The 25,141-nt window shown below is 41.7% G+C and overlaps 1 protein-coding gene across 6 annotated transcripts in view; it reads right to left on the bottom strand.

The window, feature by feature from the left end:
• HSDL2 (hydroxysteroid dehydrogenase like 2) overlaps nt 1-25,141 on the bottom strand; it is a 92,298-nt gene that overhangs the window by 58,234 nt on the left and 8,923 nt on the right. For 2 of the 6 annotated variants that reach the window (NM_032303.5, XM_011519091.4), the window contains exons 2-4: nt 10,014-10,177; nt 8,450-8,548; nt 5,151-5,265 (exon numbers count right to left, since the gene is read on the bottom strand). In NM_032303.5, coding sequence (NP_115679.2) covers nt 5,151-5,265; nt 8,450-8,548; nt 10,014-10,177 — 378 coding nt within the window. Of the gene's footprint in view, nt 1-5,150; nt 5,266-8,449; nt 8,549-10,013; nt 10,178-25,141 lie in introns of those variants that run through there. The other 4 variants (NR_036651.2, NM_001195822.2, XM_017015203.3 and 1 more) reach the window with 4 other exon arrangements.

Here is a 25,141-nt window from a genome sequence, read left to right as displayed (position 1 = left end):
GATAAAGAAATCAATGTACTTTAAGTTCTTAGCTCCCACAATTTAGCCTAAATATTTGCCCTGGCATGCATATACTGGTCCAAGCAAGCATTAGGTCATAGCCTGTTCCTCTTCCTTATTTGAAGGTGTTTTTACCGTTCTCAGCATTCCACAAGTTACCTCCTCCTTCCTTTGTTCTCCTCTGCCTTTGCCTCTTTTTAAAAAAAGTTCTAAGTTGCTAGCCAACCGGGACAAATACAGAACGTCAGGTCCCGTTCCAGCCAATGGAAACCGGACACAGCAGTAGGGTGGACGCGTCAGGTTATAAATGACCCTGTCTGCTTTGATCGGTGTACTCTTGTGGCAAAACTGCTGGCAAGTATACCCTTTCTGCAGAAAGTATAAAAACGGCCTTGCTGAGTAAATTAAATTTATGTTCAAGTGCTATTTCTTTATGGCACCAGGGAACAAGCATTTCAAACAGCTGGGAATAAGAAAAATCAACTGTTCAGAGATACAACTGAACCTTACTACTAAGCTTCTAAAAGCATTTAACATGATACAAACAATGTAATACTGGAGAGTATATAATAAATTAAATTGAAAAATACAAATTAAAAAAGAAATGTGTTCTGTGAGTTACCAGGGAAGTAAAAATAAAATAAAATAGAAATATTTCTTTTCTTTTCTTTTTTTTCTTTTTTTTTGAGAGGGAATTTCGCACTTGTTGCTCTCGTTGCACTCTTGGAGTGCAATGGCGTGATCTTGGTTCACCGCAACCTCTGCCTCTTGGGTTCAAGCAACTCTCCTGCCTCAGCCTCCCGAGTAGCTGGATTACAGGCGTGTGCCACCACACCTTGCTAATTTAGTATTTTTAGTAGAGACGGGGTTTCTCCATGTTCGTCGGGCTGGTCTCAAACTTCCGACCTCATGTAATCTGCCCGCCTTGGCCTCCCAAAGTGCTGGGATTACAGGCGTGAGCCACCACACCTGGCCAAAATAGAAATATTTCATTATGAATTTTCATTTTATAACATACTTTTCATAGAAGGCCAAAAATCTGACACTTTTCTTTGACCCAAAAGTCAGTGTGAGGTCTTTCATTTGGCATTTCAATCTGCTTTTAACTGGGAGCAATATTTAATTTTATTTAGTGTTTTTTTTTTAAGTGGCTGTTTATAAAGGTAGGAACTTTCAATAGTGAATAGAATCTTTGTGCGAGAGTTTTAATTTTAACTGTAATTTTTTTTAAAACAGAGACAGGGTTCACTATGTTGCCCAGGTTGATCTCAAACTCCTGGGCTCAAGTAATCCGCCTGCCTCGGCCTCCCAAAGTGCTGAGATTACAAGCGTGAGCCACCCCACCTGGTCTGTTTTGTTTTTAATTGCACCTTCACATCTAAAAATGTGGGTTAAGACATCACTTTCATTTTTGAAAAATGACCTCAATATAGGAAAGTAGACCAAATTATTTTTGCCAAATGGGCTTCCAAAGACATAATTTCACAAGGAAAAAACAAAGAGACTTATACATTTATGTACACATCAGTCATAATGTCAGTTTAAAAGGTCAAGTCTATAGTTATGATTACTAATTTTGACAAATCTACATAAAATTCAATGCTTTACTTGTATTGATCATCTCTTGGAAAGAAAACGTATATTTTTAACTTTGTTAGTAGGGAGCAATTCCTAGTGAATGATACAATGAACAAACAATTTCTGCACCCCTGCAAAACATATACCTACATTTGTTTAGATTTTAATAAGTCTAAAATTAACACTGACCACTGCTACAGCACTGTCTATAGTTATGATTACTAGTTTTGATAAATCTGCCTTAAACTTGCCAAGATATTTGTCAATACCTTGGAAGTCATTTCATGTCATGAAAACCCAGTCTAAAACCTTTTTAATCACGTCAAAATTCTCCTGACGCCATATACCTAGGTGTGTGGTACAAGTTTAGCTTGGGACCAGAATTGTTTCAGGTTTCATTCTGAAATATCTGCATTATACTTAACCAGTTCAACATCACTACTCCAAAAATTTGAAATCCTTAATGTTCCAAAGAGCATTTCTTTTGAGCGTCGAGTCAGCACTCAAAAAGTTTCAGATCTCAGAGCATTCTGGATTTGGGATTTTCAGACCAGGGATACTCAACCTGTATATGTATATCTGTGGCTTCATCATCTATAATAGAAACTGCCAGAAATCATTAAACTTATTCACACAACACGCCCTTAACTAAGCCTTAGTTCAACATGTTGAGCAATAATATTCCTGGCTAGGTTTATATTTTTAAGCATTTGTTTAAACAAATACTTAACATTCAATTGAAATTCTTTCACAAAGTTGCCAGCTGTAAAATATTTTTATTCCCATATAATTTTTTCTAGTACCATGACAGTATCACATAGCAACATTGCCTATTTTATTTGAAAATAAACACAAACTCTTTCTAGTTCAAGTTTTTCATCACAATCTATATGCTTGCCATAATAGTTTTTTTCTTTTTGAGACAGAGTCTCACTCTGCTGCCCAAGCTGGAGTGCAGTGGTGTGATCTTGGCTTACTGCAGCCTCCGCCTCCTGGGTTCAAGCGATTCTCCTGCCTCAGCCTCCGGAATAGTCCAGTAACAGGTGCACACCACCACGCCTGGCTAATTTTTTGTATTTTTAGTAGAGACAGGGTTTCACCATGTTGGCCTGGCTAGTCTTAAACTCCTGACCTCAGGTGATCTGCCTGCATTGGCCTCCCAAAGTGCTGGGATTACAAGCATGAGCCACTGTGCCCAGCCATTTGCCATAATTCTTACTACAGTTGGATTCAATATGGTTTCATTCAATAGAGACCTACCTTACATATCGAATTTATAGAAATATGCCTTACATCTACAAACAAGTAAGCTTTCACCCATTTTGCTTGAACATACGGCCCTCTTGGCATAAGTCTCATTTTCCCAATTCAGAGAGAGATGTGGTTATGAGAAATATTTCACTTTCCTCTTTCATATAAGAAAAACAACAGTGTAAATGCAATGATATAACTTGTTAGTCTGTCCTCAGCATCCAGAAGACAACAGAGCTCTGGCCCCATCTGATGAGGCAGTTGATAACCCTGCCACTCAGCTACAGCAACTATTGCCATGTGGTAATGCTTCTCTATTTGGCCAGATCTTCTAAGATTTCAAGAAAAGCTAGAAATCTGGACTTTTGTATAAATCTTCTAATTTTTTCAACATAAGCAACCAATAAAGTTTTTGAGACAGGGTCTCGCTCTGTCACCCAGGCTGGAGTGCAGTAGGGTGATCTCAGCTCACAGCAACGTCCACCTCCCAGATTCAGACAATCCCCCCACTTCAGCTTCCTAAGTAGCTGGGACTACAGGCACGTGTGCCACCATCCCCAGCTAATTTTTCTATTTTTTGTAGAGACAGGGTTTTGCCATGTTGTCTAGGCTGGTTTCGAACTCCTGGGCTCAAGTGACCCGCCTGGCTCAGCCTCCCAAAGTGCTGGGATTACAAGCATGAGCCGCCATGCCTGGCCCTAACTAATAAAACTTTGAATGTAGGTAACTAATGAAAACAATTTTGTTTTAACACTGTCTGGGCCAAGTTTTGCAGACCCAACAAAACATACCTGAGGGAAAAATTCAGGACTCTAACTTAATAACTTAGACATTTAACCCTCGTGACCAACCCTATAACATATTACTGTATTATTGCCATTTTAAAAGTAAAGAAACTGAATCTGCAAGAAGTTAAGTTACTTGTCCAAGGTCACAAAATAGAAAGTCATGAGGGGTGAGTGTTAAGATTTGAATCCAAGCAGTCTTACTCCAGAGCCTAAGCTCCTAACCACCTATTCTGTGTGTTAACAAGATACATGTAAGGTACAGAAGCAAGTTCTAACCTGATGTATCCTGATATCCACATGGAAAATATAGAACCAGAGGGTAAATAAACAGATAAATAAATGGACAATAAGACAGGTTGTCTGATGAATCCAGAACAGATCAAGACTATGTTCTTTCATTCGATAGTCTACATTTCCCCGGCAAAGCCCAAGAAAGTATTAGTGTTTTTATTGGTTACAATAAAGTGTGATTCATAATGAGAATGACCTTACTGTTATTTAAATAACTAAAACCTACGTCTTTTTTTTTTTTTAACGCCAGGTCTTTTTCAGAGGAAGGAGACTATTGCTGGCTTCAGTAATCCTAAATAGTCCTATGAAAGGACTGTGTCCTATGAAAGACAGAGTATACATGTAAGTATTTACACATGCAAATATTTGAGAAAATGCTTGAGCTACACTTTAGTCTTTTTTTTTTTTCTTTGGAGACAGTCTTTCTCTGTTACCCAGGCTGGAGTGCAGTGGCATGATCACAGCTCATTGTAGCCTCAAACTCCTGGGCTCAAGGGATCCTCTTGCCTCAGTCTCCTGAGTAGATGAGACCACCACCACAGTCTCAGTAGCACACAAACCACTATGCCTGCCTGATTTTAAAAACTTTTTTTTGTAGAGACAGCGTCTTGCCATCTTGTGCATCTCAGTCTCAATCTCCTGGCCTCCAATAATACTCCCCTCACCCAAAGTGCTGAAATTACAGGTGTGAGCCACTGCACTCAGCCTACTTTAGTCTTTCCTAAATTCATAGAGAAAAGGAGCTCCAAATAAAGCTATTTAAAATACTATCGGGCTGGGCATGGTGGCTCATGCCTGTAATCCCAGCACTTTGGGAGGCCAAGGTGGGTGGATCACCTGAGGTAAGGAGTTTGAGACCAGCCTGGCCAACATGGTAAAACCCTGTCTCTACTAAAAATACAAAAAATCAACTGGGCATGGTGGTGGGCGCCTGTAATCCCAGCTACTCAGGAGGCTGAGGCAGGAGAATCGCTTGAACCTAGGAGGCAAAGGTTGCAGTGAGCTGAGATCGTGCCACTGCACTCCAGCCTGGGCAACAAGAATGAAACTCCATCTCAAAAAAATAAATAAATAAAAAATAAAATAAAATACTATTGACTGAATGAAGGACTTTTAGACCCTTATAAGGATTGACTAGATTTTGAACTACACTGTTAATTTGGCTCAAATCTGTTTACAACTATGTAAGTTCCCTGAGAAACACCGCAACTTCCTCCCCAACAACTCTTCTTGCAAACTTACGCAAGGTAGGTGCCTCTGGTGTTCACGTTCATCATCAGATCCAATCTCTTGGTAGGTGTGTCCAATGTATTGGTCAAACTAATGGCACTGGCATTATTTACCAGAATATCAATTCCTGTTTTCAAAATAATCAATTTCATTTTAATGAAAGACTTTTTATCACACACAAAAAAAGCGTTTACTCTCTTGAACCCTCAGTTGATTCACAAATACAGTCATGTACCACACCTAACATTTCAATCAACAATGGCCCATATACGCAACATGGTCCCTTAAGATTACAATACTGTTTTTTTATTTTATCTCTTTTCTGTCTAAGTTTGTTCAGATACATACTTACTGTTGTGTTACAAACGCCTACAGTAGTCAGTACAGTAACATGTTATACAGCTTTACAGCCTGGAAGCAATAGGCTATGCCATACAGCCTAGGTATGTGGTCAGCTAGACTATCTATGTTTGTGTAAGTATACTCTATGTTCATACGATCATAAAATCACCTAATAATGCCTTTCTCAGAACATATCCCCATCATTAAGCAATGCATGGCTATACTTCCTTTAGATAATATGACTAACCACTACCAATGCAAGACTGGTAGCTATTTCAAAATAGCACCTGCATGATTGTCACTAGCACAGTGGAGATATAGCCAATTGCCAGAGCTCCATGTGAAACTACAAGGAGGCTTAGTCTTCGGTGGTTTGTAGCTTCCACTCTTAACTGTTCTCTTACCTCCTGGTTGTCCCTCCCTGTCTCCATAAACCTTGGATCAAATTCCTTAAAGTCTTTCTTCCTCTCTAGCATGAAGTTTCAAAGGCCTGTCCTCCCTCCAAGCATAGTAGTCTCCCTTCCCCCAAGGCCCCTCACTTAAAGGGAAAGGCTCCTTTCTGGTCTTGAGAACTGGGAAAAGAGAAAGACCTACTGTTTCAATCCCAGGCAGATCATCAAAGTGGATCAATTTTGTTTTAGTGACTCATACACACACACAAAAAATAAACCTAGAGTAACTACTATTTCTGCAAATTCTATCTAGTTTCTACCTATAACCAACAAGTTTTGCTTATAGTTATATGCTTAGTGAAATAACATTAAAGGAAAATGGTAAAAATACAAAAACTATGTCAAACATTTTTTCTTTGTTTCTACCTGGTCTTCATTATTCTTTGTGAAGTGTACTTAATGATGGTTGTGTAACAATATAATAAACTTCAATGTCACTGAACTGTACACTTAAAAATAGGATGGTAAATTTTATGTTATGTGTATTTTACCACAATTTTAAAAAATTAAATAATAAATTCAAGGCTGGGGACAGTGGCTCATGCTTGTAACCCCAGCACTTTGAGAAGTTGAGGTGGGTGGATCCCTTGAGGTCAGGAGTTTGAGACCAGCCTGGCCAACATGGTGAAACCCCATCTCTACTAAAAACACAAAAATTAGCTAGGCCTGGTGGTGGGCACCTATAGTCCCAGCTTCTTGGGAGGCTGGGGTTGGAGGATCACCTGAGCCCAGGAGGCCAAAGCTGTGGTGAGCCACGATCATGCCACTACATACCAGTCTGGGTGACAGAGTGAGACCCTGTTTCAAAGAAGAAAAAAAAAAGAACTAAAACTGAATGAATATGGGAGAATGAAAAGCTTCAGCTTTCTCCCCTTACGTCCTCTCCAAAAATTAGTGGATAAACTAATTACATCAAATCCTAAGTGGCACTAGTTAACCACTTTTACTACTAGGTGAAGTCATTTTAGATAAAATATCCTGCATTTGAGCGTGGCACATTTCACATTTAGCGCCCTATCAGTTGGACAAACATCATTTTGCATTTTCTCTCCTCTTCTGACACAGGCATTCACATTTCTTTGGGAAAGGCTGCCGGCTAGGGGTAAGATTTTGGATTTAAGGGAAGAGGCTCCACTTGAGCCAAAGCTCCGTGCTTCAGTCCAGCACCCCACAGCACTCTGCATTGGGATTATAAGTACAGCCTTGCTAACACTGAAGCATTCCCTCATTTTCCACTGGCCATTGTCCCTCACATGTACATATGGTCCTCCAGAACATTAGCGGGGAGAGTGGTAATGGTTTAGGCAGGATTTGGACATGCCTAGGTGCCCTACTATAATACCATGAAAGCCTTAGCTCAATCCCCAACACCTTTTTTCTAGGAACTTTTGAACTAATTGGGGAGAAAAGAAATACTAAGATCTAAAATAGTACAAGATAAGGATCAAATGAATGTTTTAAGAAATCAGAGAGGCCGGGCACGGTGGCTCACGCCTGTAATCCCAGCACTTTGGGAGGCTGAGTTGGGTGGATCATGAAGTCAGGAGTTCGAGACCAGCCTGGCCAATGTGGCGAAACCTGTCTCTACTAAATATACAAAAATTAGCTGGGCATGGTGGCAGGCGCCTGTAATCCCAGCTACTCGGGAGGCTGAGGCAGGAGAATCGCTTGAACCCAGGAGGCAGAGGTTGCAGTGAGCCGAGATTGCGCCACTGCACTCCAGCCTGGGTGACAAGAGCAAGACTCAGTCTCAAAAAAAAAGAAAAAAGAAATCAGAGAAAGAAAAATATAATTCTGATTAGTTGGCATGGTGAGGGAACTGACTTTGTGAAGAAGATGAAATTTAACCACATAAAGGAAGAATTTTTTCAAAAACAAATATATAAGGCACAAGTGCAATTTTCTCACATACATAGATTGTGCAGTGTCCAGGACTTTTAGGGTATCCATCACCCAAACAGCAAACATTGTACCGATTAAGTAATTTCTCTTCATCTACCCCCCTTGCATCCCTTCTTTCTTCCCAGTCTCCACAGTCTATCATTCCACACTCTTTTTCTTTTTTTTTTTTTTCTTTTTGAGACAGAGTCTTGCTCTGTCACCCAGGCTGGAATGCAGTGGTGCAATCTCAGCTCACTGCAACCTCCACCTCCCAGGTTCAAGCAATTCTTCCACCTCAGCCTCCTGAGTAGCTGGGATTACAGGCATCCACCACCATGTTCAGCTAATTTTTGTATTTTTAGTAGAGACGGGGTTTCACCATGTTGGCCAGGCTGGTCTTAAACTCCTGACCTCAAGTGATCTGCCTGCCTCGGCCTCCCAAAGTGCTGGGATTACAGGTGTGAGCCACCACGCCCAGCCTTATCAGATGGTTTTAAATCATGTTCTGTGTGAGCAAATACGTATTTCTCCAAAGACTCAGAAAATTCAAAACTCAAAACAAATTTTTAAATTAACATTATAGTTATACCTTTATTTTACCAATATCCAATAATTTTTTCAGAATGAAGGTATTACCTCCAAATTTCTTGATGGCTTTCTCCACTGCAGCACTGATCTGCTGTTCATCTCTCACATCAACAATACATGGCAAGGCCTTTCCTCCAACTGCTTCAACTTATATAAAGGATACAAAATGAAAAAGCGTTAAAGCATTTAAATATTATACCTTTAATTCCAATATCACAGTCAAAAGAAAAAAGTACCCTGTTTTCAGAAAATCAATATAAATAACTCTATCTTACCACCAGTGACTCTACCATATAGCAGGACAGACTAGCTAGGCTAACACTATTAAAAAACAAAAACGAAGGTTTGGTGGGGGTTTCTTTGTAATTTTTTTAAAAAGCTAAAAAAAGGAAGTTTTTTGTTTGTTTGTTTTTGTTTTTCAGACAGGGTCTCACTCTCTTGCCCAGGCTTGGGTGAAGTGGCACAAACACAGCTCACTGCAGCCTCAATCTCCCAGGCTCAAAGGATCCTCCCACCTCAGCTTCCCAAGTAGCTGGGACTATAGGCATGCACCACCACGCCAGGCTAATTTTTCTATTTTTTGTAGAGACACGGTTTTGCCATGTTGGTCAGGCTGGTCTCGCACTCCTGACCTCAAGTGATCCACCCGCCTTGGCCTCCCAAAGTGCTGGGATTACAGGCTTGAGCCACCTCACCCAGTTGAAAGTAATTTTTAAAAACTTTTTATTGTGGAAATATTCTAAACTATATAAAAATGTAAAGATGCTGTAATAAACTAACAGGAATCCATCACCTATCTTCAACGATTGTTAGTTTTGTCAGTTAATATGTTTATCTTTCCTGTCCCCTGTTTTATTTTTTGCTGGTGTGTTTTAAAGCAAATCCCTGACATCATTTCACTCATAAACACTTCACATGCATTCCTCTAACATAACCACAGTGCTCTGAACATGATTAACAAAACTAGCAATGTCAACTGAACTTGAATTTTTAAGCCCTCTCTCCTGGCTCTGTGCCTAGCGCTATGCCTTAAATAGAAGTATGTGATAATTATTTGTCAACTAAAAGTATTAAAATGATGACTTGCAAATTGTACAGAGAATAAATAACACAGAACGCTTTCTCAAAGAGTTCATGCCACTCACCAATCAAATTCTCTCCTCTCTACTCCACTTCCCTACTCCCCCTCCCATCCAAGAACCACTGCCCTCAAGAACCAAGATTTTTTTTTTTTTAAGAGATGGAGTCTCGCTCTGTCACCCAAGCTGGAGTGCTGTGGCATGATCTTGGCTCACTGCAACCTCCACCTCCCAGGTTCAAGTGATTCTCCTGCCTCAGCCTCCCGAGTAGCTGGGTGAAATTACAGGTGTGAGTCACCACGCCCCGCCATGAAATAAGATTTTTAACTGGAGTTTCTCACATTGCTTAAAAGTGCTGGTGGAGAAAAACGGTCAGAAGCACTGCCCCAAGGTGACAACATAAATACTTCTTTCACTAGATAAAATTATGTTCAGGGTAGCTTTCAAATAGCTTTAACTAAACTCTCCAGCAAATTCTCTATGTATTGAAACCACTAGAAAGACATTTTATCAAATGGCACTGTCACACTCACTTTCTTCAGCAGCAGTATAGATTGTGCCTAGAAGTTTTGGATGTGGCTGGGCGGTCTTTGCAGCAATAACAATATTTGCTCCATCCTTTGCTGCTTTCAATGCAATAGCTTTGCCAATGCCACGGCTTGCACCTGTGATAAAAACTGTACATCCTGCCAGCCTCCTACAACAGAACAAATACGACCTTATTAGAAGACCCAATGTTTTATTTACTGACAGGTATCAGAACCTCATGCATATTTTCATAATATATGTTTCCTCCTCTGTGAAATTTTCTCTAAACCCTCCCCATGCCCATCTGATGGCAGATAACTCCACTATACTCCCATTGCACAATGACTGATAAATTATTTATGACAACTGCAGTTGGCCAGTCTTGCTGTGATTTAGCAAACAAAATCTGTTCAAATGCAAAGCAAATCTTCAAGAGAAATAAAGAATTATAAAACAAATTATATAAACATGCATTTTTTTCCCCACAGAAAACGTGTTAATAAAGCTTTTTTTTTTTGAGTGGTGGGATTATGAGCAAATTTTATCACATCCTTTATATTCTTTAATATTTTTCAAAGTTTCCACAATGACTACATACCACTTAAAATAAATTACCTAAAAGCAAATAATTGTTCAATGAATGCTCATAATAGCCAAGGTGGAAACAACTCAAACGTCCATCAGCTGATGAACGGATAAGCAGAATGTGGTGTAGCCACGCATACAATGAAATAATGTTCCGCAATAAAGTACTGCTATGAGCTACAACATGGATGAACCAAAAACATTCTGCTAAGAGGAAGAAACCAGTCATGAAGGACCACATATGATGCCATTTATATGAAATGTCCAGAATAGGCAAACCTATAGAGACAGAAAGATCAGAGGTTACCTAGAGCTGGGAGTGGGAGGGATTGGAGGCTGACAACGGAGGGTTGAGGGGTTTCCTTCTAGGATGATTAAAGGTTTTAAAATTGACTGTGGTGATGGTGGCACAACTCTGTGAATATATTAAAAGCCAATGAATTGCGTATTTTAAATGACTGCATAGTGGGGTACGTGAATCACATCTCAAAAGAGCTGTTAAATAAACAAACGCTCACAAATTGCTGCAGGTTGATCTGAAATATTCTGATTCAAATGTACTGATGGGTCCCTGTGCCCATTTCATTCTTTGTGTGTGTGTGTTTTGTGTGTGTGTGTGTGTTTTTTTTTCTTTTGAGACACAGTCTCGCTCTGTCGCCCAGGCTGGAGTACGGTGGTGCAATCTCAGCTCACTCAACCTCTGCCTCCCGGGTTCAAGCAATTCTCCTGCTTCAGCCTCAAACAATTCTCCTGCTTCAGCCTCCCAAGTAGCTGGGACTACAGGCGTGGGCCACCACGCCCAGCTAATTTTTGTATTTTTAGCAGAGACGTGATTTCACCATGTTGGCCAGGCTGGTCTCGAACTCCTGACCTCGTGATCCACCCGCCTTGGCCTCCCAAAGTGCTGGGATTACAGGCATGAGCCACCGCGCCCGGCTAGCCTGTTTTTTGCTTTTTTTAAATGGAGATGGGGTCTCACCATCTTACTCAGGCTGGCCTTGAACTCCTACGTGCTTTTTTTTTTTTTTAAGACAGCTCTGTTACCCAGGCTGGAGTACAGTGGCGCAATCATGGCTCACTGCAGCCTTGAACTCCTGGGCTTAAATGATCTTCCCATCTCAGCCTCACAAGTAGCTGGGACTACAGGCACACACCACCATACCCAGTTACTTTTTAAAATTGTTTGTACAGACAGGGTCTTGGTATGTTACCCAGGCAGGTCTCAAACTCTTGGCCTTATGTGATCCTCCCACCCTGGCCTCCCCCCATTTCATTAAGTTCACTTAAACTTTCTGCTTACTCAGTGGCTAAGTGAAACGGAGACACCTAAAATAATTTCCTAGTAAACTCATAAAAGAAAAACTAAAAGAATAAAATAAAGATAACAGCAAGGGAAACCCGCTTTCTTATTTACTTTCTAAGGGCAAATTTAAAAGTCTGCTTAAGGAAAAGAATGGAGAAAGAAGAGCAAAAGTGACAATGACAAAGAAAAAGGGATGACCTGAGATTGGTGATAGATTAACAGGTTTGTTAATAAAGGAACATAAAACTCTTGCACGACCCAGAGGATTACACTCCAGAAGAAAGAGATCAGAGGTAAAAGTGGGAAGCGGTTTTAAAATAAGGAATAATTTGTTTGGTAAGAAGGAGGGAGAGTGGAGAAGTGGGGAGAAGTCAGAGAGGTTGAAATTATTTTTCATGAAATATAGCACACATATAAAAAGCATGTAAAACAATGTGTATTGTTTAATGAACAAAATTAAAATGAACAGTAGTATCAAGGCAAGAAATAGAATATTACCAATACCCCAGAAACCAGCCTGTATATTCCTCTCCAACTCTATCCTCCTTCCCTCCCCCACCCCACAGAACGAAAACTACCTTAAATGTTATGCACTCCCTTGTTTTTTCATTATTCCTAGTACCTAGGTCTCTGAGTCTAAATCAACAGTCTGCAAACTATGGCCCCAGGCCAAATCTGACCCACCACCTGTCTGTGTGTGGCCCTGGAGCTAAGATTGATTGTTACAGATGAGTATTTGTGATCAATTCGATGACAAGGAATGCTAATTTTGAATCCCAATTAGGTAAAACATTAGCTCTCTGCTACTTTTTTTTTTTTTTTTTTTTTTTTTTTGAGAGCGGTTCTTGCTCTGTCGCCCAGTCTGGAGTGTGGCTCACTGCAACCTCTGCCTCTGGACTTAAGTGATCTTTCTGCCTCACCACTCAAGTAGCTAGGACTACAGGCGTGCACTACCACACCTGAAAAAGTTTTAATTTTTTGTAGAAACAAGGTCTCACTATGTCACCCAGGTTGGTCTTGAACTGGGCTCAAGCGATCCTCCTGCCTTGGCTTCCCAAAGTGCTGGGATTATTAGCATTAAATTAAGTTCATTTAAACTTTTTACTTACTCACTTGCTAAGTAAGAAGGAGACATCTAAAATAACTTCCTGGTAAACTCATTAAAAAAGAATAAAAGAATAAAATTAAGATAACAGCAAGGGATGTTATCAATCAATAACAGGAAGATAACCCCGGCCTTATCTCCCTGTTATTGATTGAATTGTGTCCCCCAAAAAGCATGTGGAAGTCCTAACTTCAGAAGGTGACCTCAGTTGGAACCAGGATTGCTGAAGATGTAATTAGTTAACATGAAGTCATATTGGAGTAGGCCCTTACTCCAATCGGACAGGTGTCCTTCTAAGAAGAAGGAAGACTATGTAAAGACAGCCACATGGAGAATGTGTGATGACAAAGGCAGAGAGCCTGGAGGGATGCAGCTGCAAGCCCTGAACACAAGGATTGCTGGCCACCCCCAGAAGCTGGGAAGAAGCAAGGAAGGATTCTACCCAGAACTACAACAGCACAGCCCTGCTGACATCTTGATTTCAGAATTCTAGCTTACAGAACAGTGAGAGCATCCATTTGTTTTAAGCCATCCAGTTTGTGGTTCTGTTTGTTTTGTTTTGTTTGAGACGGAGTCTCACTCTGTCACCAGGATGGAGTGCAGTGGCACGATCTTGGCTCACTGCAACCTCCGCCTCCCAGGTTCAAGCGATTCTCCTGACTCAGCCTCCCAAGTAGCTGGGACTACAGGCATGCGCCACCACGCCCAGCCAATTTTTGTATTTTTAGTAGAGATGGGGTTTCACCATGTTGGCCAGGATGGTCTTGATCTCTTGACCTCATGATCTGCCCACCTCGGCCTCCCAAAGTGTTGGGATTACAGGTGTGAGCCACCATGCCCTGCCCAAAGAGGATAATATCCTTACCAGCAGCAGTGAATGAGTATAAGAGTTCCCGTAGCTCCACCACCTCCCCAACACTTGGTAATTTCTGACCTTAAAGTTTTTTCACCAATTCAGTATTATGAAATGATATCCCAAGGTGATTTTCATTTGCACTTCCCCAGTTACTAATGAGGTGGAATATATTTTTGTTCCCATGTTAATGGTCGCTTGTGTTCCTTCTTGTTGCGGGAAGTCAGGGACCCCGAACGGAGGGACCAGCTGGAGCCGCGGAAGAGGAACATAAATTGTGAAAATTTCATGGATATTTATCAGTTCCCAAATAATACTTTTATAATTTCTTATGCCTGTCTTTACTTTAATCTCTTAATCCTGTTATCTTCGTAAGCTGAGGATGTACGTCACCTCAGGACCACTGTGATAATTGTGTTAACTGTACAAACTGATTGTAAAACATGTGTGTTTGAACAATATGAAATCAGTGCACCTTGAAAAAGAACAGAATAACAGTGATTTTTAGGGAACAAGGGAAGACAACCATAAGGTCTGACTGCCTGCGGCATCGGGCAAAAAGAGCCATATTTTTCTTCTTGCAGAGAGCCTATAAACGGATGTCCAAGTAGGCGAGATATTGCTAAATTCTTTTCCTAGCGAGGAATATTAATATTAATACCCTGGGAAAGGAATGCATTCCTGGGGGGAGGTCTATAAACGGCCACTCTGGGAACGTCTGTCTTATGCAGTTGAGATAAGGAGTGAGATACGCTCTGGTCTCCTGCAGTGCCCTCAGGCTTACTAGGGTGGGGAAAAACTCCACCCTGGTAAATTTGTGGTCCAACTGGTTCTCTGCTCTCGAACCCTGTTTTCTGTTGTTTAAGATGTTTATCAAGACAATACGTGCACCACTGAACATAGATCCTTATCAGTGGTTCTGTTTTTGCCCTTTGCCCTGTAATCTTTGTTAGACCCTTATTAGTAGTTCTGCTTTTTGCCCTTTGAAGCATGTGATCTTTGTACCTACTCCCTGTTCTTACACCCCCTCCCCTTTTGAAACCTTTAATAAAACCTTGCTGGTCTGAGACTCAGGTGGGCATCACGGTCCTACCGATATGTGATGTCACCCCCGGCAGCCCAGCTGTAAAATTCCTCTCTTTGTACTGTCTCTCTTTATTTCTCAGCTAGCTGACACAGAAAATAGAAAGAACCTACATTGAAATATTAGGGGTAGGTTCCCCCAATATCTGGCATGCCAAGTGGCTTTTTCCTAAGTGCATGTGGGAACCCGATTCCTTTTGGTACGTGCATAGAAACGTTCATTGGTCCGGTTCACAGAAACGCTTGTTCGGCTCCCTGACAATTGGTGAGTTGTCTGTGTATTGTCCGGGGTAACTATGGGTCACACGAAGTCTAAGCATTATGCTTATCTCTGCTATATTAAACTCCTGTTAAAACAGGGAGGAGTTCAGGTACCTATGGAAAATATGGACATCCTATTCAGGGCAGTGGAAGAACACTGTCCTTGGTTTCCTGAAAAGGGAATGTTAGATGTGGGACTATGGGATCATGTTGGTGCAAAATTCCAGGAACTGGTCCCAACAGGAAATTATGCTCCCGTCACTGTTTGGGGTGATTGGGCCTTGGTAAGTGCTGTCCTAAAATACCAATCCTGTAACCCCCTGCAGTTACCACAGTTTTCTGTGTCTGGTGACCCTCTACCTCTTCCTCAGGTTTCCTCTCCCGTTCGGCCTTCGTTATCTGCTCAAGCCTCTCCCTTCACCAACTCCTCCCCTACCTGACGATATTGAGGACTCAATATCTAACTCTGGTGACTTTGGCTTAACGTCACCCCCAATGATCTTATTTCTTTTCATGAGGAGCCGGTACTTGTAGCTCCCACGGACCCGACTTGGACAGCCCAGGACCATATCTATACTAACTCTTCCCTCTTCAAACCTTTGCAGCCTTTGCTTCCGGAGCCATCTGATGGCTCCGGAACCAAACTACAATTTACCTGTAATTCTGCAGGCCCTCCCTCATCCACCACAGCCCCTCACTCTCCTGTCATTTCGGTCCCTCATTTGGTCACTTTGCCATCCATTCAACCTGCTTCTCTGTACCCTTCTTCACACGTGGATGCCCCTGCCACTCTGGTTGCACAGGATTGAGCCAATAATCACCAGTATGCTTATGCCTTTTCTGCTCCCCCAATGCCCCTTTCTCATACTCTCATACCAGTCCGACCTCCTCAACCTCAGTTTCCCTTATCTACACATACTTTTCCTGTCATTTCTATGCCGAGTCCATCTCATGTGCCTGTTCTTGAAACTTCCATGCAACACTTATTACGCCAGAAAAAAGAAACAAGTGGATTAGAGGTGTCGGCTTATCCGGTCGTGCTGGAATCTCCCAGTGCTCAAGGGGTACAAGTGCATTGATTTAGGCCGCTCAATCTTACCTTTTTAAAAGAATTCAAGGATGCTTGTACTCAGTATGGTCCTACTTCTCCATATGTTAAAATGGTATTACAGACTCTTTGTACTGAGGTCATTTTGCTTCCTTTAGACTGGGACCTTTTGGCAAAAGCTGTTCTAACTCCATCTCAGCATTTACAATTCCGTACCTGGTGGTGAGAGGAGGCCCGTCTGCAGGCTCAGCTAAATTGGGCTGATGGCATTCCAATTACTCAGGCTCAGCTCACAGGCTCCGATAATTACTCTGACACTACCTCCCAATTAGGCTTTGATGCTCTCACCATGGAACAAGTAACAAAGGTGTGTATGAGAACTTGGGATAAATTACGTGCCCCAAGTCAAGCTCCTGTTTCTTTTACTACTGTTAAACAGGGTCGCAATGAATTATATCCTGATTTTTTGGCTAAATTACAAGATGCTGTTGAAAAATTCATCTCTGATGAGCACGCTCAAGGTATTCTCCTTTGTATGTTAGCATGTTAGCTTTTAAGAATGTGAACCATGAGTGTAAAATGGCCATGCATGCCATCCAATGACAAAATTTAGCTGATCACGAGGTGTTGCCTGCATATATTAAAGCTTGTGAAGGCATTGGATCAGGGACCCACAAAGCTATTCTGTGGGCACGGGCTATGAAGGACGGCAATCAAACCGGCTCGACTGATTCTTTTCTTGGAGCCTGCTATAACTGTGGTCAACTTGGTCATACTCGAACAAACTGCACCATTAAAAACTTAAAAGCAGCCAAGCCAGCTCAACAAACACAGCCAAATGCTCCTGCTACTGTTTGCCCTTGTTGTCATAAAGGCAAACATTGGGCAAGTACTTGCCGTTCTAAGTCTGATATAGATGGAAATCCCTTGCCACAGAACCAGGGAAATCGGAAGCGGGGCCAGTCTCAGGCCCCAATATGAAATGGGACACCTCAGACTCAGACCAGTGTTGCATTTCTGCTTCAAGCGGTCCCAACACAGCCCCCAGCACACACAAACTTACCTACAGCCAACTCAGGTAGGTCCCAGCCTCTTCTTCTGTCTCAGTACACTTGTCTACCTCCACAGTAGGGGGCGGGGTGGTCAATCTCTGTAGTACCATTCCTCTAAATTTACTACCTAATTCTTTCCCTTTAATTGTCCTCACGGGGCCTTTACCTCAAGGTTCTGGCCCTTTACCTCAAGGTTCGGTGGGCCTGGTGTTAGGTATGACATCCACTACTACTAAAGGAATCACGGTTCATACTGGTCTCATTTTGATTCCTCTAATGAGAATAAACTTATGGTGTCTGCCAAGGTTCCTGTTTCCATTCCAGCTGGTGAGTCAATTGCTCAATTACTTTTACCACCTAATATTGTTTTAAGCAAAGGAGATAAGACACGGGGCCCTGGGATGGGCTCTGGTGGTGAAAAAGCCGCTTATTGGATTAATGTAATTTCTAAACAACAGCCCACCTGCACCATACACATTCAAGGAAAAAAGTGTGAGGGCCTAGTAGATACTAGGGCTGATGTTTCTATTATTTCCTCTAATCTATGGCCTTCCTCCTGGCCTAAACATCCCACTAAAATGGGACTAGTAGGGGTTGGAAAAGCTGATGAAGTTCACCAGAGCACATTTATCTTGCCTTGCACTAGCCCTGATGGTCAAAAGGGTACAATTCAGCCTCATATCACACCAATCCCCATTAATCTTTGGGGTAGAGATTTGCTGGCACAATGGGGGGCTGAAATTAATATTCCACATAACTCTTATAGTGCTCCCAGTCAACATATAATGGAAAACATGGGGTTTGTTCCAGGACTCGGTCTCAGTCCAAGACATGAAGGAATTACCAAACCTCTTCAAGTTACCGTAAAAGAAGACAGGGCTGGTTTAGGTTATCCTTTTTAATGACGGCCACTGCTACGCCTCCTAATCCTGTTCCTCTACGAGGGAAATCTGAAACACCTGTTTGGATTGAGCAGTGGCTGCTCTCTAAAGAAAAACTGGAGGCTTTAACTCAATTGGTTTCTGAACAGTTACAACTTGGAAATGTGGAACCTCCTCTTTCCCCCTGGAATTCTCCTGTGTTTCTAGTAAAAAAGAAATCAGGGAAGTGGAGGATGGTAACTGCTTTAAGGGCCATTAATGCTGTAATTAAACCTATGGGAGCCGTCCAACCTGGCATGCCTGCCCCTCCTTTAATACCTAAGAATTGGCCTCTCATAGTTATTGATCTTAAAGACTGTTTCTTTCATATTGCTTTACATAAATCAGATTGTCAAAATTTGCTTTTACTGTACCATCTATCAATAATCAGGAGCCTGCAGCTCATTATCAATGGAAAGTACTTCCTCAGGGAATGCTGCTGAACACTATTCATAGGCAAAAAATTCTCCCTCAATGAAAGCAAGCCAGTGTTATGGAAAAACTCCCAAACCAATACCTGGGAACCTGGAACAATTATAACGTGGGGAAGAGGGTATGCTTGCGTTTCACCAGGAGATCATCAATCCCCTGTCTGGGTGCCCACTAGAAGACTTAAACTTCGTATGCATACTGACAATGAAAACCACAGAAAAGAGATGTCCGCGTCAGAGACTGCCCTCATACCTGGTGAGATCTGTGCCGACTCCTCAGAAACTGGTAGGCCAAATCAAAATGGGTCTGGTTCAGTCCTCCCAAATGGCAACAGAGACCCCTCTAACTAATCCCACATCTCCTAATTACCTTTCTTTTTCTCCTTACGAACCTAAAAATCTCACCATTTCTATTAGCCTGAAAATAACATCCCTCTGTTCTTCTCTTCCTCCTCCAGCACTGGATCTCGCTTACAGTAGGTTTTATTTAATAATTCTCCTCCTTACACTTTCTGTCTCACCAGTTTCCCCTCAAACTGATTTACCTGCTACATAAAATTATTCTTATTGGGCTTATGTGCCTTTTCCTCCACTTATTCGACCTCTCACCTGGATGGATGCTCCTGCAGAAATCTATACTAACGATAGTGTATATATGCCTGGAGCTACAGATGACCATTGCCCCACTCGACCAGGAGAAGAAGGCACTGCATTTAATGTTACTATGGGTTATAAATACCCTCCTCTGTGCCTCGGACATCCACCTGGTTGTATCCATCTAGAAACTCAAGTCTGGGCTGCTTACCTTCCGGAGAGATCAGCCACAGGGGAATGGGGACATTTGGTCTCCGGCCTCTCCCTTTCTCCTTTAAGACAAATGAAAGGGGGAGTAATAGGAGATACCCCATATTTTCAATATAAACCCATAGGAAAACTATGTCCTAAAAATTTTGAGGGCCCATCTAAAACTTTAATTTAGGAAGATTGTGTTAACTCACATGCAGCAGTATTAAAAAATGACTCACATGGTTTAGTAATAGACTGGGCACCAAAGGGCTATTTAAAAAACAATTGCTCCTCTGGCGGAAGAGGATGTCTGGAGGCTACTTATTTTATTTCTTATTGGGAGGACGAGGATCACCATCCTTCTTTCCATAGGTAGTTCAGCTCGTTCTTTCCCTTAAAATGAGAAGATAAGGGCATTACCCGCCCACCCCAGCCCTGAGGCTTTGTATGATATTCCCCATTCTGAGCCCAGAACACCCAGAACTTTGGAAATTGGCTATTGCCATGTCCGGACTGCGAGTATGGGAAGGGGAAACTTTTCTGTCTGTTGTCCCCACTACCACCCCTCACATCTGTGATTCTGAACCCCATGATAAATCCCCTTTGAACCCTCTTCCTCTTTTTGACGCCGATCCCCCTTTATGGGACTCCAATTGGCATTATGATAATTCTTCTCGACCCAGGTATGCCCCTCTACCTCTTCGGCATCCCTGGGCACCTCAGATTGCTTCTTTATGGTGGAGAACATCAGGCATTGCCACGCTGCTCCTCTCCCTCAGTATCAACGTAGATTCAAACATTCTGCTTTGATTACCTCCAGCCTGACTATTCCTATACAGAGTTGTGTTAAGCCTCCTTACATGCTGTTAGTGGGAAATATCAAAATTTGGATGAACAATCAAACTGTCCAATACATTGTCATTTATGCACTTGTGTTAACTCCTGTTTTGACTTCAGGAAAAGTGTAATGTTGGTTCGAGCTCAAGAAGGAATCTGGATACCAGTAACTTTACCCAGACCTTGGGAATCTTCCCCCTCAGTACATTTAATTAATGAAGTGCTACAGCAAATTCTCAAAAGATCTAAGAGATTTGTTTTCACTTTAATCGCTGTGATCATGGGCCTAATTACAGTCACTGCACTGGCCACCACTGCCAGAGTGGCGTTACACCAATCTATTCAAGTGGCTCATTTTGTTAATGATTGGCAAGCCAATTCCACCCAAATGTGGAATTCTCAACAGGGCATTGATCAAAAATTAGCTAATCAAATTAACGATTTAAGACAGTCTGTTATTTGGCTTGGAGATTGGCTAATGAGTCTCGAATATCACATGCAAGTGCAGTGTGACTGGAATACTTCTGATTTCTGTATCACACCATATTCCTACAATGAGACTGATGAGTCATGGGAAATGGTCAAAGGACACCTGCTGGGTAGGGAAGATCATTTATCCTTGGACGTAACTAAATTAAAGACAATAATTTTTGAAGCCTCTCAAGCTTATTTATCCATTGTGCCTGGAGCTGAGGCGTTAGGTCAGGTGGCAGAAAGTCTTTCTGGACTAAACCCCACGACTTGGATTAAGTCTATTGGGGGCTCCACTGTAGTAAATTTTGGAATCATGTTTCTCTGTTTAATCGACTTTTTAGCGTGCCAGACCAGTCAACGAATCCTGCGTCAAAACCAAGAGAACGAACAAGCCTTCATCGCCATGGCTCATTTATATAAAAAGAAAGGGAGAGATGTTACAGGAAGTCTGGGACCCCCCAATGGAGGGAACAGTTGGAACCATGGCAGAGGAATATAAATTGTGAAGATTTCATGGACATTTATCAGTTCCCAAATAATACTTTTATAATTTCTTATGCCTGTCTTTACTTTAATCTCTTAACCCTGTTATCTTTGTAAGCTGAGGATGTACGTCACCTCAGGACCACTGTGATAATTGTGTTAACTGTACAAATTGATTGTAAAACGTGTGTTTGAACAATATGAAATCAGCACACCTTGAAAAAGAATAGAATAACAGCAATTTTTAGGGAACAAGGGAAGACAACCATAAGGTCTGACTGCCTGTGGGGTCAGGCAAAAAGAGCCATATTTTTCTTCTTGCAGAGAGCCTATAAACGGATGTGCAAGTAGGAGAGATATTGCTAAATTCTTTTCCTAGCAAGGAATATTAATATTAATACCCTGGAAAAGGGATGCATTCCTGGGGGCAGGTCTATCAACGGCCACTCTGGGAATGTCTGTCTTATGCAGTTGAGATAAGGAGTGAGGGAGTGAGATACGCTCTGGTCTCCTGCAGTGCCCTCAGGCTTTCTAGGGTGAGGAAAAACTCTGCCCTGGTAAATTTGTGGTCAACCGGTTCTCTGCTCTCAAACCTGTTTTCTGTTGTTTAAGATGTTTATCAAGACAATACCTGCACCACTGAACATAGACCCTTATCAGTGGTTCTGCTTTTTCCCTTTGTCCTGTTCCCTCAGAAGCATGTGATCTTTGTTAGACCCTTATTAGTAGTCCTGCTTTTCACCCTTTGAAGCATGTGATCTTTGTACCTACTCCCTGTTCTTACACCTCCCCCTCTTTTGAAACTCTTAATAAAAACTTTCTGGTCTGAATCTCAGGCAGGCATCACAGTCCTACTGATATGTGATGTCACCCCTGGAGGCCCAGCTGTAAAATTCCTCTCTTTGTGCTGTCTCTATTTCTCAGCTGGCCGACACTTAAGGAAAATAGAAAGAACCTATGTTGAAATACTTGGGGCAGGTTCCCCCAATACCTTCTTTTGCAAAGTTCCTATTAATTGGTTTTGCCCATTTTTCTTTTCTTTTCTTTTTTTTTTTTGAGACAGAGTTTTGCTCTTGTCGCCCAGGCTGCAGCTCACTGCAACCTCCACCTCCTGGGTTCAAGTGATTCTCGTGCGTCAGCCTCCCAAGTAGCTGGGATTACAGGCGTGTGCCACTACACCCAGCTGATTTTGTATTTTTAGTAGAGACAGGGTTTCTCCATTTTGGTTGGGCTGGTCTTGAACTCCTGACCTCAGGTGATCCACCTGCCTCCGCCTCCCAAAGTGCTGGGATTACAGGCATGAGCCACCAAGCCTGGCTGGTTTTGCCCGTTTTTCTATAAATAAGGTTAACTTTTTTCTTATTGACTCATACAAGTCTATAAATTACATACATTTCAGTATCTTTTCATTTGTGGCTTGCTTTTTCACTATTTTTATAGTGTCTTTTGATTAGCAGAAATTCTTTATCATTAGAGATTGGGTCTTCTGTATCACCCAGGCTGAAGTGCAGTGTCTGAATCACAACTCAGTATAACCTCCTATTCCTGGGATCACAATTCTCCTGTCTCAGCCTCCCAAGTACCTGGAACTACGGGTGCATGCCAACATGCCTGGTTAATTTAATTTTTTTATTTTTTGGGGGGGGACAGGGTCTTGCTATGTCGCCCAGGCTCATCTTTAATTTCTGGCCTCAAGCAATTCTCCTGCCTCAGCCTCCCAAAGCACTGGGATTATAGAAAATTATTATTATTATTATTATTATTTTTGAGATGGAGTCTTACTCTGTCACCCAGACTGAAGTGTAGTGGCGTGATCTTGGCTCACTGCAACCTCTGTCTCCTGGGTTCAAGTGATTCTCCTGCCTCAGCCTCCTAAATAGTTGGGATTACAGGCATGTGCCACCATGCCTGGCTAATTTTTGTATTTTTAGTAGAGACAGGGTTTCACCATGTTGGCCAGGCTGGTCTTGAACTCCTGACCTCAAGTGATCTGCCCACCTTGGCCTCCCAAAGTGATGGGATTACAGACATGAGTCACTGCGTCCAGCCTAGAAAATTTGTTAAAGAATTTATAATTCTTTTCTTTTATGGCCAGGGCTTTGGGAATCTTAAGAAATTCTTTTTTTCCTGTAAGTGGATTAATTTGTATTTCAAAAGTTTTATGGTTTACCCTTTAAAGTTTGGTCTTGAGGCCAGGTGTGGTAGCTCAGACCTATAATCCCAGTACTTTGGGAGGCCGTGATGGGAGGATCGATTGAGCCCAGGAGTTCAAGACTAGCCTGGGCAACATAGTGAGACCCTGTCTCTACAAAAAATAAAAAAATTAGCCCAGTGTATTGGTGTGCACCTGTAGTCCCAACTACTCAGGAGGCTGAGGTGAAGGATTGCTTGAGCCCAGGAGGTCGAGGCTGCAGTGAGCCATGATCATGTCACTGCACTCCAGCTTGGTGACAGAGCGAGACCCTGTCTCTAAATAGATAAATTAATAAGTTTGGTCTTTAATCTACCTGGAATTAATTTTTGTGTATGAACTGAAGTAAGGGACTAATACATTTTTTCCCTACATAGATAACCAACTGTCCAAGTCTGAAATGCCCATCTTTCCCACTGCTCTTCAATATCAGCTCTGTCATAAACTGAATGTCCATAAATATATATATTATCTGCTTTTGGACTCTCTATTCTGTACCACTAATCTACATGATCACACTGCCTTAATTAAAACAGCTTTATCAGTCTTAATAACTGATAAGGCAAATGATTCCAATTTATTCTTCTTCAAGAGTTTCTTGTCTATATTTGGACCTTTAATTTTCCACATATATTTTATTTTATTTTTTACTTTATTTATTTATTTATTTATTTATTTATTTATTTTGAGACAGAGTCTCACTCTGTTGCCCAGGCTGGAGTGTAGGGGCGTGATCTCGGCTCACTGCAACCTCAGCCTCCTGGGTTCAAGTGATTCTCCTGCCTCAGCCTCCTGAGTACCTGGGACTACAGGTATGCGCCACCATGACTGGCTATTTTTTGTATTTTTAGTAGAGACAGGGTTTTGCCATGTTGGCTAGGCTGGTCTGGAATACCTGAGCTCAAGTGATCCACCGGCCTCGGCTTCCCAAAGTGCTGGGATTACAGGCATAAGCCACCACGCCCGGCCCACATATATTTTAGAATCTCATTATCTAACTGGTCAAGTGAAATCAGTTGAGATTTTGACAGAAATTACATTAAGTCTATAATTCAAAGTGGAAAGAATTGACATTTTTGTGACAGTGAGTGTTCTAATCCATGAACATGGTATAATTCCATTTATTTAGGTCTTTCTAATGTATTTCATTATGATATAATTTCCTACAGAAAGGTATTATACATCTTTTGTTGGCTTTATTCCTAGGTACTCCATTGTTTTTAACTTTTTCCAACTTTTTATTTGTAAATAATTCAAATTTAAAGTTGCAAGAATAATAGTACAAAAAAAATATTCACATATCCTTCACCCAGATTCATGTATTGTTAATATTTTACCCCAATGATTTAGCATTTGTGCTCATTTTCTCTCCTTCTCCCTTTCTCCTTCTCTATATCTTATTTTCTCCAAACCACTTAAGAGTGATTTGAGGCCAGGTGCAGTGGCTCATGCCTATAATCCCAGCAATTTGGGAGACCAAGACGGGGATCACTTGAGCCCAGAAGTCGAAACCAGCCAGGGCAACATAGTGAGACCCTGTCTCTACAAAATTAAAAAATTAGCCATGTGTGGCAGTGTGTGCCTGTAGTCCCAGCTACTCGGGAGGCTCAGTCAGGAAGACTGTTTGATCCCAAAGGTTGAGGCTGCAGTGAGCCATGATTACACCACTGTACTCTAGCCTGGGAAACAGAGACTGACCCTGTCTCAAAAAGAAAAAAAAA

Source organism: Homo sapiens, chromosome 9 (assembly GCF_000001405.40).
Source record: "Homo sapiens chromosome 9, GRCh38.p14 Primary Assembly".
NCBI lineage: Eukaryota > Metazoa > Chordata > Mammalia > Primates > Hominidae > Homo > Homo sapiens.
Note: the sequence above shows the minus strand (reverse complement) of the source record. Positions and strands in the feature narration are given on the sequence as shown.